The sequence below is a fragment of the Homo sapiens genome, chromosome 4 (assembly GCF_000001405.40).
Source record: "Homo sapiens chromosome 4, GRCh38.p14 Primary Assembly".
Lineage (NCBI taxonomy): Eukaryota > Metazoa > Chordata > Mammalia > Primates > Hominidae > Homo > Homo sapiens.
Genome location: NC_000004.12, coordinates 88,308,304 through 88,324,519, shown reverse-complemented (window position 1 = coordinate 88,324,519; position 16,216 = coordinate 88,308,304). Strand labels below are relative to the sequence as shown.

General features: G+C 40.1%; 1 long non-coding RNA gene across 3 annotated transcripts in view, besides 1 other annotated feature; it reads right to left on the bottom strand.

Moving 5' to 3' along the window:
- The window catches only part of PPM1K-DT (PPM1K divergent transcript), a 56,728-nt gene that overhangs the window by 17,138 nt on the left and 23,374 nt on the right, over positions 1–16,216 (bottom strand). Inside the window, exons 2-4 of one of the 3 annotated variants that reach the window (NR_134236.1) lie at positions 12,649–12,724; positions 7,713–7,834; positions 5,095–5,189 (exon numbers count right to left, since the gene is read on the bottom strand). This is a non-coding gene — a long non-coding RNA (PPM1K divergent transcript). The remainder of the gene's footprint in view (positions 1–5,094; positions 5,190–7,712; positions 7,835–12,648; positions 12,725–16,216) is intronic. The other 2 variants (NR_134238.1, NR_134237.1) reach the window with 2 other exon arrangements.
- Positions 3,602–3,681: an enhancer, noted in NCBI's record as "active region_21712". NCBI's record gives its function as "activates an Ori minimal core promoter by ATAC-STARR-seq in GM12878 lymphoblastoid cells {active_cell/tissue: GM12878}" and the evidence as "EXISTENCE:reporter gene assay evidence [ECO:0000049][PMID:35858748]".

Below are 16,216 nucleotides of genomic sequence, written 5' to 3'. Positions count from 1 at the left end.
GCAGGAATCCCAGGACTCTAATGATTGCAACCTCATGTTGCTAACATGATCTTGTAGAGACCAAGGGAAAACTTCCCTTTTACCCTCTGAAGTTTCACTGAAAAATCAACTGATGAAAGGAAGATTAGTAAGAGAAAAGGTATATACAAATGTATTGGCATGCATGGGGGAAAAAAAATCACAGATTGATTACTCCAGCCCTCCAATGGGGATGCAGAAGCTTATATACTATCTTGAAGTTACACAAAGCCTGGGAGCTCAGAGCACGACCAAAAACACGTTAAGGTGGTAGTTAAATCAGGTCATAGTGGCAAGACAGGTTATGGGTGGCTAGCAAAAGTGGCCTTGTAGATGAAACTTCACAGATAGTAGCCATCAGAGAAAATAGATGGTAACATTTCTTTTAGACCTTTAAAATATCAGACTCTCAGTTAATCCTTCCTAGATCAGATGCGAGATGGCTTCAGAGAAAGCTTGGCTGCACCAATGCAGCTGTTTCTCTGCAGATGCAAATTTCCTCCTACAAAAGACAGCTTTTCAGCTATTCTTCCATTTCCAGCCCTTCTATTTTATTTTATTTTTGAGACAGGGTCTTCCTTTGTCACCCAGGCTGGAGTGCAGTGGCCCAATCTTGGCTCACTGCAACTTCCACACACACAATCCCACAAGGCTCAAGTGATCCTCCTGCCTCAGCCCTTTGAGTACTGGGAACTACAGGCGCGCGCCACCATGCCCGGCTAATTTTTCTATTTTTTGTAGGGTTTCGCCATGTTGCCCAGGCTGGTCTCGAACTCCTGGACTCAAGCGATCCACCCACTTTGGCCTCCCAAAGTGCTGGGGTTGTAGGCATGAGCCACCACACCCAGCCATCCAGCCCTTCTAAATAGCCATCGTGAACTATGTCCAGGAAATATGTATTTTGAGATAAAGTATTTTGATTTCCTTTAATCTCAAATGCATCAGTATGTATTTTCTCTCTAACCCCTTCCCCTTCCCACAATCCTTCATAGAGAGGCAATGAAACAATGTAACTTAAAAGATAAAGTAACTAAAATAATAGGTATCCTGAATGGATTCTGGAATAGAAGAATATTAGTGGAAAAACTGGTGAAATCCAAATAAAGTCTACAGTTAACTGTATTGTGCCAATGTCAATTTCTTAGCTTTGACAAATGTACCATGATGACATAAGAGATTAACATTAGAGGGAGCTGGGTGAAGTGTATATAGGAACTCTATGTACTATCTTTGCAACTTTTAAAAATTATTTCAGGCTGAGCACGGTGGCTCATGCCTGTAATCCTGGCACTTCGGGAGGCTGAGGCGGGCAGATCACAAGGTCAAGATTGAGACCATCCTGGCCAACATGGTGAAACCTCGTCTCTACTAAAAATACAAAAATTAGCTGGGCATGGTGGCGCACCCCTGTAATCCCAGCTACTTAGGAGGCTGAGGCAGGAGAATTGCTTGAACCTGGGAAGTGGAGGTTGCAGTGAGCTGAGATCATGCCATTGCACTCCAGCCTGGCGTCAAAGCGAGACTCTGTCTCAAAAAAAAAAAAAAAATTTCAAAATGAAAAGCGTATTGATTTTTTAAAAAGGTAAAGAAAGAACATAATTTAGACCAAAATTAGTCTCTGACTATTCAAGGAATCAGTGCATTCCGATGACACTGATATAAAATCTTCTTCCAGCTCATTCAAAGCAAGGCCAACCACGTTGCAGTGTTTTAGCAACATTTCACCAGACATAATTATTAACACATTACATAGATGAGAAAATAACTTTCATCTTAGGAGTGTGAGTCTTTTAAATCATCAGGCCCAGAGAGACATTAAAATGAGAGAGCTATACGTCCTATTCCCCGCTTTGAGCTATGGATTCATCCCTTGAAACTGCTTGCTATTGCCACAGATAGCTATAACTTAACCTAATAATGCTTAACCTGACACTATATCCACACCCTATGGCTTAACGATGTACAGCCAATCACTGATCAATGTTATATCTATAAACCAATAATAATTCTTGACAAACAACTTTGTACTAGCAATCTCTAGTCTCCTTTTTTTGCCTTTAAAAAATCTGCTTATAATACAGGCCAAATGGTGCTCATAACCAAGGCTACCTGGGTCTGAGTCTTCCAGGCAGCTCTTCCCACTTTGGCTCAAGTAAACTTTTAAAATCGTATTTGGTGTTAGGCCTCTTCCTTTTAGGTCGACGTGAAAAAGCTGTCTGAAACACCGTTAGGAAAAAAAACACTAGATCACAACACTAGAGAAAATATGTTTATATTAATGTAGATTATAGACATGAGGAGGAAAAATTTACCTCAAGAATGGCTTTGCTTTTGGAAAAACTTGTGAACTTCATCAAACTGTTGCTTGAGGCTACCTTGGGGAATGGGACCAGGGAAACATATCATTTTGACCCTATATGCTTTTTCACTGCAAGACCTCTTTTTTGGATGAGAATGTGTTAATTTTGTACATTTTTAAACAAAGTTTGTTTTTTTTTTAAATAGCAGGTTATGCATTATGTAGAGAAAATAGCTATGTTTGAAATGGAAAACTAGCAACAACCGTAGTAATAAAATATAAAGAAATATAGTAATCAAAAAGAAAGAAAGAGATTGCAGGAAGTCTGGAAGAGAATACATCCAAAATGTTAATGGTGCTTATATGTGACAGTAAGAGGAATTTTTTAAATTCTGTATTTTATGTTTGCTATAGTCAACATGGATTCTTTTCATTATCACGAAGACTTTTTAAAAATTACAACATTTACATACATATGATGATCAATTTTTTGTACTTTTATGATATTTGTTCCTACATGGGTCTTTAAACTTGACTAGATGGCAAGTTTCAGAATGCAAATCATAAATTACTTTTAGAACAGATCCTATTAAAAAAAAAAAAAAAGACAGGCCAAGCGCAGTGGCTCACGCCTGTAATCCCAGTACTTTGGGAAGCCGAGGCAGGCAGATCACGAGGTCAGGAGTTCAAGACCAGCCTGACCAACATGGTAAAACCCCATCTTTACTAAAAATACAAAAATTAGACGGGTGTGGTGGCATGCACCTGTAATCTCAGCTACTCAGGAGGCTGAGGCAGGAGAATCGCCTGAACCCGGGAGGTGGAGGTTGCAGTGAGCTGAAATCATGCCACCGCACTCCAGCCTGGGTGACACAGCGAGACTCTGTCTCAAAAAAAAAAAAGACAAAATCTTTGTCAGTGATGCATGATTGGTTTAGTTTCCTTTTCAAGATTATTTAGAAAAAATATTTAGCTGTGTACACGGGCTGCTTTCCAACATACAGGGAGATGCTGTTTGAATACTCCTGCAAAGTGTCTGAAAGCAAATATTTAGTAAGTATTTCAAAAGAATTTCAAACCTCTTCTGGCTTCCTATCTCTGTGGTTTCTCTTTTCAGTTGAATATCCCTGAGACACCACAAACAAAACAAGTGCCCAATCAAATCCACTGTCTTAGCTTCTTCACATTCCCAGACCTCTGTTCTCCTTCCACCTTTCCCTGAATTGAAAGCAGGGCTTGTTTGCTCCAGAAAAACAAACAAACAGAAAGATCTGCAGGGGACTTCACTTCTCCTAGGAGGGTGCTAGGCCAGGACGGCCACATTTCTCAGAACTAAGGGGAACAGAAACTGTCTGGTGGAAGGAGGAAGCTCTCAAGAACAGCACAGCAATAGCCCCGAGGAGCAGGGAGCACTTGGCAGCCAGGGTGAGTGTGAACTTTGAGAAGGAAGAAAGATGTTTAAAGGTGATTTGTAGGAAACTTTGCCCTTGTAAAGTGCTGCATCCCTCAGCCCCACTCCCAGGACAGCACTCCACCTCCATCTTCACCCCAGGCTTCAAACAAGGCAGTATAAAAACTGACTGTGTTTGAAGTCAGACTCCAACACTTAGTGGCTATATCACCTTGGTTAAGTTAGTTCACCTCTCTGTTCTAATTTCCTGAACTGATCTCCTCATTTGTAAAATGGAATATGGTCCTGCCTACTTTATGAGGTTTTTGTGAGGATTAACTGAATTAATCCATTAATATAACCAAAACAATGACTCACTATGATTCTAAGAGCTATTTAGCCATGCGTGAGTTAGCTATTGTTTTTCTGGGCTGTCAGAGTTCAACAGGTGCTGCTTTGAATGTACTTTGAGCAAACTCTAGCTCAAAAGGAATCTTGTAGAATTTGAGATACTATTTTGATTGTTACCATTATCCACTCAGTCACCCAATCACTCCTTTAACCCCTAGACTTAATCAAGCTCTGTTGATTCATACCCCTCAATAAGTCTCCTCTCCAGTGCCTCAATTTTTGCTTAGATCACTGCAAGAGCTACCAACATTTTTTTCCTTTCTTCAGCAACTTTCATCCTCGATGTGGAAGGAAATCAAGATATTTTACCCCAAAATATATTTCTTTGATATACTTTGAGATGACTGCCAGAGGGCCAGCAAACGGAATTGGCCCTACAAAGCTGTCTTTCCTGGGGGAAATTTACATCTGTAGAGAATCTATATTCATGCAGCCAGGATTCCCTTGTCAGATCTAGGAAAGATTAAGAGTCTGACACCTTTAGAGGTGAGAGAATTTGGTAAAGGTAAGAAGAATTTGTCATCTATTCTGTCTGCTACCCATGAGGTTTCATCTATATAATAAGGCCAACTTTGCTAGGCAGGCCTCCTGTTCTGTCTCTCTCATAACCTGTTTTGCCACTAAAGCCTAGTTTACCACCATAGCCTGTTTTTGGCTGTGCTCTGAATCCATATTCTTTCTGTAACCTCGAGGTGGAGGGCTTTCATTTTGAAGGCCCCTGTGTCATGAAAAACTATGATCAAATAAATTTGTATGCCTTTTCTCCTATTAATCGTCTTCTTGTTAAATATTTTCAGCAAACCTTCAGAGAGTGAAGGGGACGCTTTCCCTTGCCTTCAACAATGTCCTTCAAAATGGCACCAGATCCATATGCATTACTCCCCAGCCTAAGCCCCACTGCGTTTGATCAATAACCATTATTTTGTTTTCAACTCAATGTCTTACCCTCAAGTCCTGCTATTTCCCATCCACCTACCTCATCTTTGCCAGTATCCTCCTTGTACTGGCGTGACTCCAGTCCAGGTCCTTCCATGTTTCCTTTTCTTTCTTGGGGTTGATCTTTTCATGATTCTTTAACAAATCAGTTGCTATTAAGCCTTCATGACACTGATAAAAAATCTTCTCTTCTACAAAGTCTTTCTCAGCAATCCCAAGCAAAGTTAGTCATTTCCTCCTTTGTTTACATTTCACTTGATATATACCTTGTCTTTTCACATAACAGGTTGTGCTGGAATTATGTGTTTATGGGCCTCACTCAATGACAGGGACTGAGCATATTTCTTTGTTTGCCCAGAGCCACCCCCACATGCCTGGCACATCAAAGATGTTTAATAACGATGTAGTGAGTGAATAATAAATAAATGGGTTAGTATAACATCTCAGATGATATTTACATTGTGTCGATGAAAACAGTCAAACTCTGTAAAATATTTGAAGAGATTTATTCTGAGCCAGTTATGAGTGACTAATGGCCCATGACACAGCCTCAAAAGATCCTGAAAACATAAGCTCAAGGTGGTTGGGCCACAGCTTTGTTTTATACATTTTAGGGAGACATGAGACATCAATTAATACATGTAAGATGTACAATGGTTCAGTTCAGAAAGGTGGAACAACTGGAATTGGGGGCTTCCACGTCACAGGCAGGTTCAAAGATTTTCTGATTGGCAATTGGTTGAAAGTGTTATTATCAATAGAAAGGAATGTCTGGATTATGATAAGGGTTGTGGAGACCAAGGTTTTATCATGCAGATAAAGCCTCCAGGTAGCAGATTTGAGAGAGAATAGATTGTAAATATTTCTTATCAGACTTAAAGAGCCTCTTATATCAGTAATTCCAAAAGGGAGGAGGGTATAATGAGGCATTTTGGCTCCCTTTTCTCATCATGGCCTGAACTCATTTTTTTCAGGTTAGCTTTGGAATGCCCCTGGCTGAGAGGAGGGGCCCATTCAGATGGTTGTGGTGCCTTAGAATTTTATTTTTGGTTTACAATTCATGGGAGAGTAAATATAGTAAAGGAGAGACAAACAGTATACAGGCTCCACCACTAGAGCATATGACTCTGGGCAAATTCCTTATGCTCTCTGTGCCTCCCTTTCCCCCTTGACAAAATAATGACAATGATATCTTTATGTGTATGTGAGCATTCAATTAATCAATAAATGTAATTATGTGTATTAGTTACTGTTGTTGTTGATGTTCATGGAGAGAGTATTACTGTAAACCCCAGGAAAGACAGGGACTTTGTTTTGACTCACCATTTAATTTCTAACATTTGTTATAGCATTTCTTGAGGAATAAGCACTCAATAAAGATTCAAGTGGGCACAGTGGCTCATGACTGTAATCCCAGCTACTCAAGAGGCTGAGGCAGGAGGATTGCTTGAGGCCAGGAGTTTGAGACCAGACTGGGAATCATAGCTAGATGGTGTCTCTACAAAAAATTCAAAAATTGGCCAGAGGTGGTAGAGTGTGCCTTGTGTTCCAGGTACTCAGTAGGCTGAATTGGGAGGATTGCTTGAGTTTAGAAGTTTGAAGTTGCAGTGAGCTATGATTGCATCACAGCACTCCAGCCTGAGTGACAGAGTGAGTGAGACCCCCATCTCTCGCTCTCTCTTTTTTTTTTTTTTTTTTTGGAGATAGAGTCTCACTTTGTTGCCCAGGCTGGAGTGCAGTGGCATAGTCTTGGCTCACTGCAACCTCTGCCTCCCAGGTTCAAGTGATTCTCCTGCCTCCGCCTCTTGAGGATTCATCTTATTAGGTAGCTAAAATTGGTAACATTTGCTGGATATGTCATTTATCAAAAAGTGATTGGGCTGTGGGTATTTGACCCTTAAGTATGAAATGCATGCCTTCTTCTGAGCCAGAGTTACCAGTTTGTTGACTTTTCAGAGTTTGTGACTTATCTGGAGTAGCTGGGATTACAGGCAACTGCCACCAGGCCCAGCTAATTTTTGTATTTTTTTTTTTTAGTAGAGACATGGGGTTTTGCCATCTTGGCCAGGCTGGTCTTGAACTCCTGACCTCAGGTAATCCACCTGCCTTGGCTTCCCAAAGTGCTGGGATTACAGGTGTGAGCCACCGTGCCTGGCCCCCAACTCTCTTAAAAACAAAAAAAAGAATTGTGAAATGAACATAAGTATAATAAAAAGAGAACATAAAAGAAGATAGAAATGCACTCACACACACAAAGGGCAAGTGAGAATGCATTTGTGCATCTGATACAAAGTACAAAACTGTTGTTAAGTCACCTTAGGTGCTCACCACTGTGGGATGACTAAGGGGGACAGTTCTGGAGGCTGGGAAGTCCAAGATCAAGGTACTGGCAGATTTGATGTCTAGTGAGAACCTGCTTCCTAGTTCCCAGTTTTCTCTCATGGCAGAAAGTTGATGAGAAAGCTCCTTGGGGTCTCTTTCATCAGGGCACTAATCCTATTCATGGGCGCTCCACCCTCACGAACTAATCAGCTACAAAAGGCCCCCACCTGCTAATACCATCACATTGGGGGTTAGGATTTCAACATACGAATTTAGAGGGGACACAAACATTTAGTCTATAGTACAATGTAAATAATGACAACTAAGAATACTCACATAGGCCAAGCATGGCAGGTGGCTCATGTCTGATATCCCAGCACTTTGAGAGGCCGAAGTGGGAGGATTGCTTCAGCCCAGGAGTTCAAAACCAGTCTAGGCAACATAGCAAGACCTTAGCTCTAAAAAATAAATAAACAAATAAATGAATAAATAAAAAAATAAGAAAAGTCAGCCAAATGTGGTGGTGTACACCTATAGTTCTAGCTACTTGGATAGCCAGTGCAGGAGGATTGCTTGAACCCAGAAGTTCAAGACTGAAGTGAGCTATGATCTCACCCCTGCACTCCAGCCCAGGTGATACAGTGAGATCCTGTCTCAAAAAAAAAAAAAAAAAAGAATACTCCCACGTAAAACTGAGCAAATTTTCTGTACAGTAAGTCCTCACTTAATGTCACCAATATGTTATTGGGAACTTCAACTTTAAGCAAAATAATGTATAATGAAACCAATTTTACCATAGGCTAATTGATACAAACAAGAGTTATGTTTCTATGGCATATTTCTGGTCATAGAAACATTACCAAACTTCTAAATAAAGACCTAAAACACTTCTAATATTAAACATTAAAATAAATAAATGTTTAAAGATAAGACAGGTAAATAAAAACAAGTAAGATATTTATTTATTTACCTGATTTTTGGTCAGTCAGTGAGTGACAGCAATAGTAGTGGTGGTGGTTAAATCAAAAGTATTTGCAAAGCAAAATTAGTAAGAGGCTCCTCCTACCACTACACAGTTAAAAAACAAACAATAACGAATATAGCAGGCTCACTGAGCACTTTCATACCACATCATTTATTGTTGTGTGTTTGTATGATTACCATATACTTTATGAATATTTATTTTATAATAACTTGTTTTCACTTATCTTCCAACCTGCTTATTCCAGTTCAGGGTCTTGGGTAGCTGGAACCTATCTCAGCAGCTCAGGGCGAGAAGTGGAAATCAACGCTGGACAGGCAGGACACCATTCCATCACGGGGCACACTCACACACACACCCACACTCAGATTAGGACATTTAGACACATCCACTCACCTAATGTGCACATCTTTGGGGTGTGGAAAGGAACTGAGTAGCCAGAGGAAACCCACACAGACGTGGGGAGAATGTGTAAACTTCACACAAACAGTGGCCCAGCTGGGAATTGATTTTTTTTTTCCTTATCAATGTCATAACACAATGACATTGAAAAAAAATGTTATTCAAGGACCTGCTATACTTAGTTTTATAATTTCACTGTATGTAACTCTGAACACCGTATCTTTCTTTAGAGTTCACTTAAGATTCATCTTATTAGGTAGCTAAAATTGGTGTCATTTGCTGGATATTACTTATCAAAAAGTGATTGGGCTGTGGGTGTTTGACCTTTAATATGAAATGCATGTCTTCTCCTGAGCCAGAGTCACCAGTTTGTTGACTGTTCAGGATCTCATCAAACTAGTTCTTTGCTCAGATAAAAAAGAGCTCAATGCCCAGATTGAAGCTTTAATTAGAAAGTTATGTTGAATCTTTTTGTAGCTATATCTTTGCCCACTTAGTTGATCCTCTCCTTAGGATAAATTTTCTCAAAAATAAATGCTGTGTTAAAATTTAATTGCAAGTTTTTATTTTTCTTCCTCAACATTTTATTCTGTAAAAGTTTTTTTAAAACATAGAAGTAAAGAGAACAGTATAATAATTCCAATGTACTCATCCATCACCCAGATGCAACAAACATGAACTCATGGCCACACGTCTTTCATCTGTACTCTTACCTACTTTCCCCTCACCTACTCACCAGCGTTTTTTGTTTTTTGAGACAGAATCTCACTCTGTCATCCAGGCTGGAGTGCCAGGGGCATGATCTCGGCTCACTGCAACCTCCGCCTCCCAGGTTCCAGTGATTCTTGTGCCTCTGCCTCCTGAGTAGCTGGGATTACAGGTGCGCACCACCAAGCCCAGCTGATTTTTGTGTTTTTAGTAGAGATAGGGTTTTACCATGTGGGCCAGGCTGGTCTTGAACTCCTGACCTCAAGTGATCCGCCTGCCTCAGCCTCCCAAAGTGCTGGGATTACAGGTGTGAGTCACTGCGCCTGACCCTCAGCAGCCTATGTTGAAGCAATCCAAGTTATTATAAAATTTCATTCATAGTATTTCAATATCTATCTCTAAAAGATAAGAACTATCTAACATAACAATGCTATCACTGCAGGTATACAAAGTTAAACATAATGCAAAAGGTCTGTGCATTTTAACGGTTGTTACATATTGCTACTGTCCCCTTAAAAGGGTACAGCAATTTGCCCTTACAGCCCTAGTTTATAGCAGTGCCATCCTTGATATTATCAATCTTTTTCATATCCATCAATCTATAGCTCTCAAAAATGATGTCTTGTTCCAACTCTCACTTCATTGATTGTTAATGAGGTTGAGCAACTTCTCATTTTATATTGACCATTTATATTTCTTCTTCTACAATTACTTATTCACATTCTCTTCTATTGTTCTATGCATCAATCTTATTTTCATATTGATTTATAAGTTTAAAAAGCAAGAATTTTAACACACATTGCATTATCTATATTGTATATAATAGAAAAAGTCTGAAGATGGATTTTCAAATAAAAGTATAAAGTTCTCATGATAAATACATACCATGTGTATTAGTCTATTTTGTATTGCTATAACAGAATCCCTGAGCCTGAGAAGTTTATAAAGACAAGAGATATATTTAGCTCATGGTTCTGCAAGCTGGGAAGTTCAAGATTAGGCAGCAACATCTGGCAGCTTCCAACAAGGACCTCATGCTTGGTCAAAGCATGGAGAAATGGAAGGCGAACTAGGTTTGTGTGAGAAAGGGCAAAACACTAGGGGCAACTTCATTTTATTTTTTGTATTTCAATGGCTGCAAAGGCACCCTCACTTTATAACAACCGGCTCTCTCAGAAACTAATCCATTCCCATGAGAACTAACCCTGTCTCATGAGAAGGACATTAATTTATCTTAATGACCTAATCATTTAGAGACACCATCTGCCCTGCCAACATTGCCACATTGGAGACCAGTCCACAACATGAGTTTTGGTGGGGACAAATGATATTGAGACCATAGTGAGAGGTGACAGTGTGCTGGCAGCCCTCACAGCCCTTGCTCACTCTCCACGCCTCCTTGGCCTTGGCGCCCACTTTGGCCGTGCTTGAGGAGCCCTTCAGCCCGCCACTGCACCGTGGGAGCCCCTTTCTGGGCTGGCCAAGGCCGGAGACAGCTCCCTCAGCTTGCCGGGAGGTGTGGAGGGAGAGGTGAAGGCAGGAATTGGGGCTGCGCGCAGTGCTTGTGGGCCAGCGCGAGTTCTGGGTGGAGTGGGCTTGGCAGCCCTGCACTCCAAGCGGCTGGCCGTCCCCGCTGGCCCTGGGCAGTGAGGGGCTTAGCACCTGGGCTGGCAGCTGCTGTGCTCAACTTCTCGCTGGGCCTTAGCTGCCTCCCTGCGGGGCAGGGGTCCAGCCCACCATGCCTGAGCCGCCTCGCCACACCCTGCCCCGCCAGCTGTGGGCTCCTGCACAGCACCGCCCCCTGCTCCAGGGCGCCCAGTCCCATTGACCACCCAAGAGCTGAGGAGTGCGGGTGCACAGCGCGGGACTGGCAGGCAGCTCCACCTGCGGCCCCAGTGCGGGATCCACTGGGTGAAGCCAGCTGGGCTGCTGAGTCTGTTGGGGACTTGGAGAATCTTTATGTCTAGCTAAGGGAATGTAAATACACCAATCAGCACTCTGTATCTAGCTCAAGGTTTGTAAACACGCCAATCAACACCCTGTGTCTAGCTCAGGGTTTGTGAATGCACCAATCGGCACTCTGTATCTAGTTACTCTGGTGGGGACTTGGAGAACCTTTATGTCTAGCTGAGGGATCGTAAATACACCAATCGGCACTCCGTATCTAGCTCAAGGTTTGTAAATGCACCAATCAGCCCTCTGTGTCTAGCTCAGGGTTTGTGAATGCACCAGTCGGCACTCTGTATCTAGTTACTCTGGTGGGGACTTGGAGAAACTTTATGTCTAGCTAAGGGATTGTAAATACACCAATTGGCACTCTGTATCTAGCTCAAGGTTTGTAAATGCACCAATCAGCACTCTGTGTCTAGCTCAGGGTTTGTAAATACACCAATCGACACTCTGTATCTAGCTAATCTAGTGGGGAGGTGGAGAACTTTTGTGTCTAGCTCAGGGATTGTAAACGCACCAATCAGCACCCTGTCAAAACAGACCTATCGGCTCTCTGTAAAACAGACCAATCAGCTCTCTGTAAAATGGACTAATCAGCAGGATGTGGGTGGGGCCAGATAAGAGAATAAAAGCAGGCTGCCCAAGCCAGCAGTGGCTACACGCTTGCATCCCCTTCCACACTTTGGAAGATTTGTTTTTTTGCTCTTTGCAATAAATCTTGCTGCTGCTCACTCTTTGGGTCCACACTGCCTTTATGAGCTGTAACATTCACCGCGAAGGTCTGCAGCTTCACTCCTGAAGCCAGTGAGACCACGAACCCACCGGGAGGAACGAACAACTCCAGACGCGCCACCGTGAGAGCTGTAACACTCACTGCGAAGGTCTGCAGCTTTGCTCCTGAGCCAGCGAGACCACGAACCCACCAGAAGGAAGAAACTCCAAACACATCCGAACATCAGAAGGAACAAACTCCGGACGTGCTGCCTTTAAGAACTGTAACATTCACCGTGAGGGTCCGCGGCTTCATTTTTGAAGTCAGTGAGACCAAGAACCCAACAATTCCAGACACAATAGCACCATGGTGCACTATGCAGTCCTTAATAAGTATATGTTTATAAAAACCCATTGAATATACAACACCAAGAATGAACCTCAATGTAAACTATGAACTCTGGGTGATGATGATGTGTCAATGTAGACTCATTGATTGTAGCAAATATAACAACTCACCATTCCCAGCTGTGGTGGCCACAATGGAAGACTCCTTCTGTTTGATTAAACTCTCCAATCAAAAGACATCGAGTGGCTGAATGGAAGAAAAAACAAGACCCCATGATCTGTTGCCTACAAGAAACACATTTCACCTATAAAGATACATATAGACTTAAAAAAAGAGATGAAAAAAGATATCCATGCCGATGTAAACCAAAAAGAGCAGGAGTAGCTATACTTACATCAGACAAAATAGATTTCAAGACAAACACTCTAAAAAGAGACAAAGAATGTCATTATATAATGATAAAGGGGTCAATACAGCAACAAGATATAATGATTATAAATATATGTGCACCTAACACTAGAGCACCCAGATATATAAAGCAAATATTATTGGAGCTAAAGAGAGAGCTAGACCTCAATACAATAATATCTGGAGTCTTCAACACTCCCCTTTCAGCATTGGGCAGATCTCCTAGACAGAAACTCAATAAGGAAATATTGAACTTAATCTGCACTATAGATCAAATGAACCTAATAGATAGTTACAGAACATTTCATCCAATGTCTGTAGAATATACATTCTTTTCCTCAGCACATTGATCATTCTCAAGGATAGACCATGTGTTAGGTCACAAAACAAGTCTTAAAGCACTCAAAAAACTGAAATCATATCAAGCATCTTCTCTGACCACAAAGAAATACAATTAGAAATCAACAACAAGAGGAATTTTGGAAATCATACAGATCCATGGAAATTAAACAATATGCTCCTGGATGACTAGTGAATCAATGAAGAAATTAAGAAGAAAATTGAAAAATTTCTTAAAACAAATGATAATGGAAACACAGCATAGCAAAACCTATGGAATACAGCAAAAGCAGTACTAAAAGAGAAATTTGTAGCTATAAGTGCCTACATCAAAAAAGAAGAAAAACTTCAAATACATAACCTAACAACACATCTTAAAGAACTACAGAAGCAAGAGCAAAACAACCTCAAACTTAGTAAAAGAAAGGTAATAATAAAGATCAGAGCAGCAATCAATGAATTTGAAATGAAGAAGACACACACAAAAATCAATGCAACAAAATGTTGATTTTTTGAAAAGATAAACCAAGTTGACAAACTTTTAGCCAGACTAATGAAGAAAAAAGAAAAAGAGAAACCCTAAATAAATAAAATCAGGGATGACAAAGGAGATATTACAACTGCTATCACAGAAATTCAAAGAATAATTAGTGACTACCCTGAGCAAGTGTATACCAATAAATTGGAAAATCTAGAAGAAATGGATAAATTCCTAGATATATACAACCTACCAAGATTGAACCATGAAGGAATCCAAAAACCTGAATAGACCAGTAACAAGTAATGAGATTAAAGCCATAGTAAAAAGCCTCCCTGTAAAGAAAAGCCCAGGACCCAGGTTTCAACATAAAAATCATAAAAGGAGACAAAGAAGACCATTATATAATGCTAATGGGATCATTTCAGTAAGAGGATGTAACAATTGTAAATTTATATGCACCTAACACTGGCACACCCAGATATAGAAAGCAAATATTAAAGCTAAAGAGAGAGATAGACCCCAGTGCAATAATAGCTGGAGACTTCAATATCCCACTCTCAGTATTGGACAGATCTTCCAGACAGAAAATCAACAAAGAAATGTTGAACTTAATCTGCACTATAAACCAAATGAGCCCAATAGATATTTACAGAACATTTCATCCAATGGCTGCAGAATACACATTCTTCTGCTCAGCATGTGGATCATTTGCAAGGATAAGCCATATATTAGACTACAAAACAGTCTTTAAAAATTCAAAAAAATCGAAATTATATTAAGTGTTTTCTCTAAGCATGGTGTAATAAAACTAGAAATCAATCACAAGAGGAATTTTAGAAACTATACAAATACTTGGAAATTAAAGAATATGTTCCTGAATGACCAGTGGGTCAATGAAGAAACTAAGGGAAAAAAATTAAAAATTTATTGGAACAAATGAAATAACAAATTAGCCAAGTGTGGTGGTGCATGACTTTAGTCCCAGCTACTCAGGAGGTTGAGATTGGAGGATCACTTGAGCCCAGGAGGTCGAGACTGCAGTGAGCTGTGATCATCCCATTGAACTCCAGCCTGGGCAACAAAACAAGATCCTGTCTCAAATATGTATATATTCTTCTACTAAGTTTGAGACAGGATCAAACTTAGTAGAATAAAAGCAATAATAAAGACCAGAGCAGCAATCAATGAATTTGAAATGAAAATACACAAAAAATCAATGAAACAAAAAGTTGTTTTTTTGAAAAGATAAACAAAATTGACAAACCTTTAGCCAGACTAATGAAGAAAAGAAATAATAAAGACTAGGTCAGAAATAAATAAAATTGAAATCAAGAAAACAATAGAAAAGATCAATGAAACAAAATGTTGGGGTTTTTTTTTCCAAAAGATAAACATAATTGCAAATATTTAGCTACACTAAGAAGAGAGAAAACCCATATAAATAAAATCAGAGATGAAAAAGAAGACATTACAATCGACACCACAGAAATTCAAAGGATCACTGGAGGCTACTGTGAGTAACTATATGCCAATAAATTGGAAAACCCAAAAGAAATGGATAAATTCCTAGGCACATACAACCTACTAAGATTGAACTGTGAAGAAATCCAAAACCCAAACACACAAATAACAAGTAATAAGATCTAAATTGTAATGAAAAGCCCCACAGCAAAGAAAAGCCCAGGACCAGATGGCTTCACTGTTGAATTTTACCACATGTTTAAAAAACAAATACCTAATCCTGCTCAAACTATTCTAAAAAATAGAGGAGGAAAGAATACTTCCAAACTTATCCTACAAGGTTGGTATTACCCTGATACCAAAACCAGACAAAAACACATAAAGAAAACAACAGGTTAATATCTGTGATGAACGTAGGTGCAAAAATCCTCAACAAAATACTATTATAGCAAACCAAATTCAACAACACATTAAAAAGGTTATTCATCATGACCAAGTGGGATTTACCCCAGTGATGCAAGAATGGTTCAACATATGCTACTCAATCAATGTGATACATCATATCAAGAGGATGAAGGAAAATGCCTGGTGTGGTGGCTCATGTCTCTAATCCAAGCACACACTTGGGGAGGCTGAGGAAGGAGGATCTCTTTGAGTTTGAGACCAGCCTTGGAAATATAGGGAGATCTTGTCTCTACAAAAAATTAAAAAATTAGCCAAGTGTGGTGGCACATGCCAGTAGTCTCAGCTACTCAGGAGGCTGAGGTGGGAGAATTGCTTCAGCCCAGGAGGCAGAGATTGCTATGAGCCAAGATTGCACCACTGCACTTAAGCCTGGGCAACAGAGTGAGACCCTGTCCCCAAAACAACAACAACAACAATAACAACAATGAGAATGAAGGACAAAAACGATATGATCTTTTCAATTGATATTGAAAAAGAATTCAAAAAAATTCAGCATCTCTTCATGATAAAAACCATCAAAAAACTGGGTATAGAAGGAACATACCTCAACACAATAAAAGCCATATATGACAGACTCATGGTTA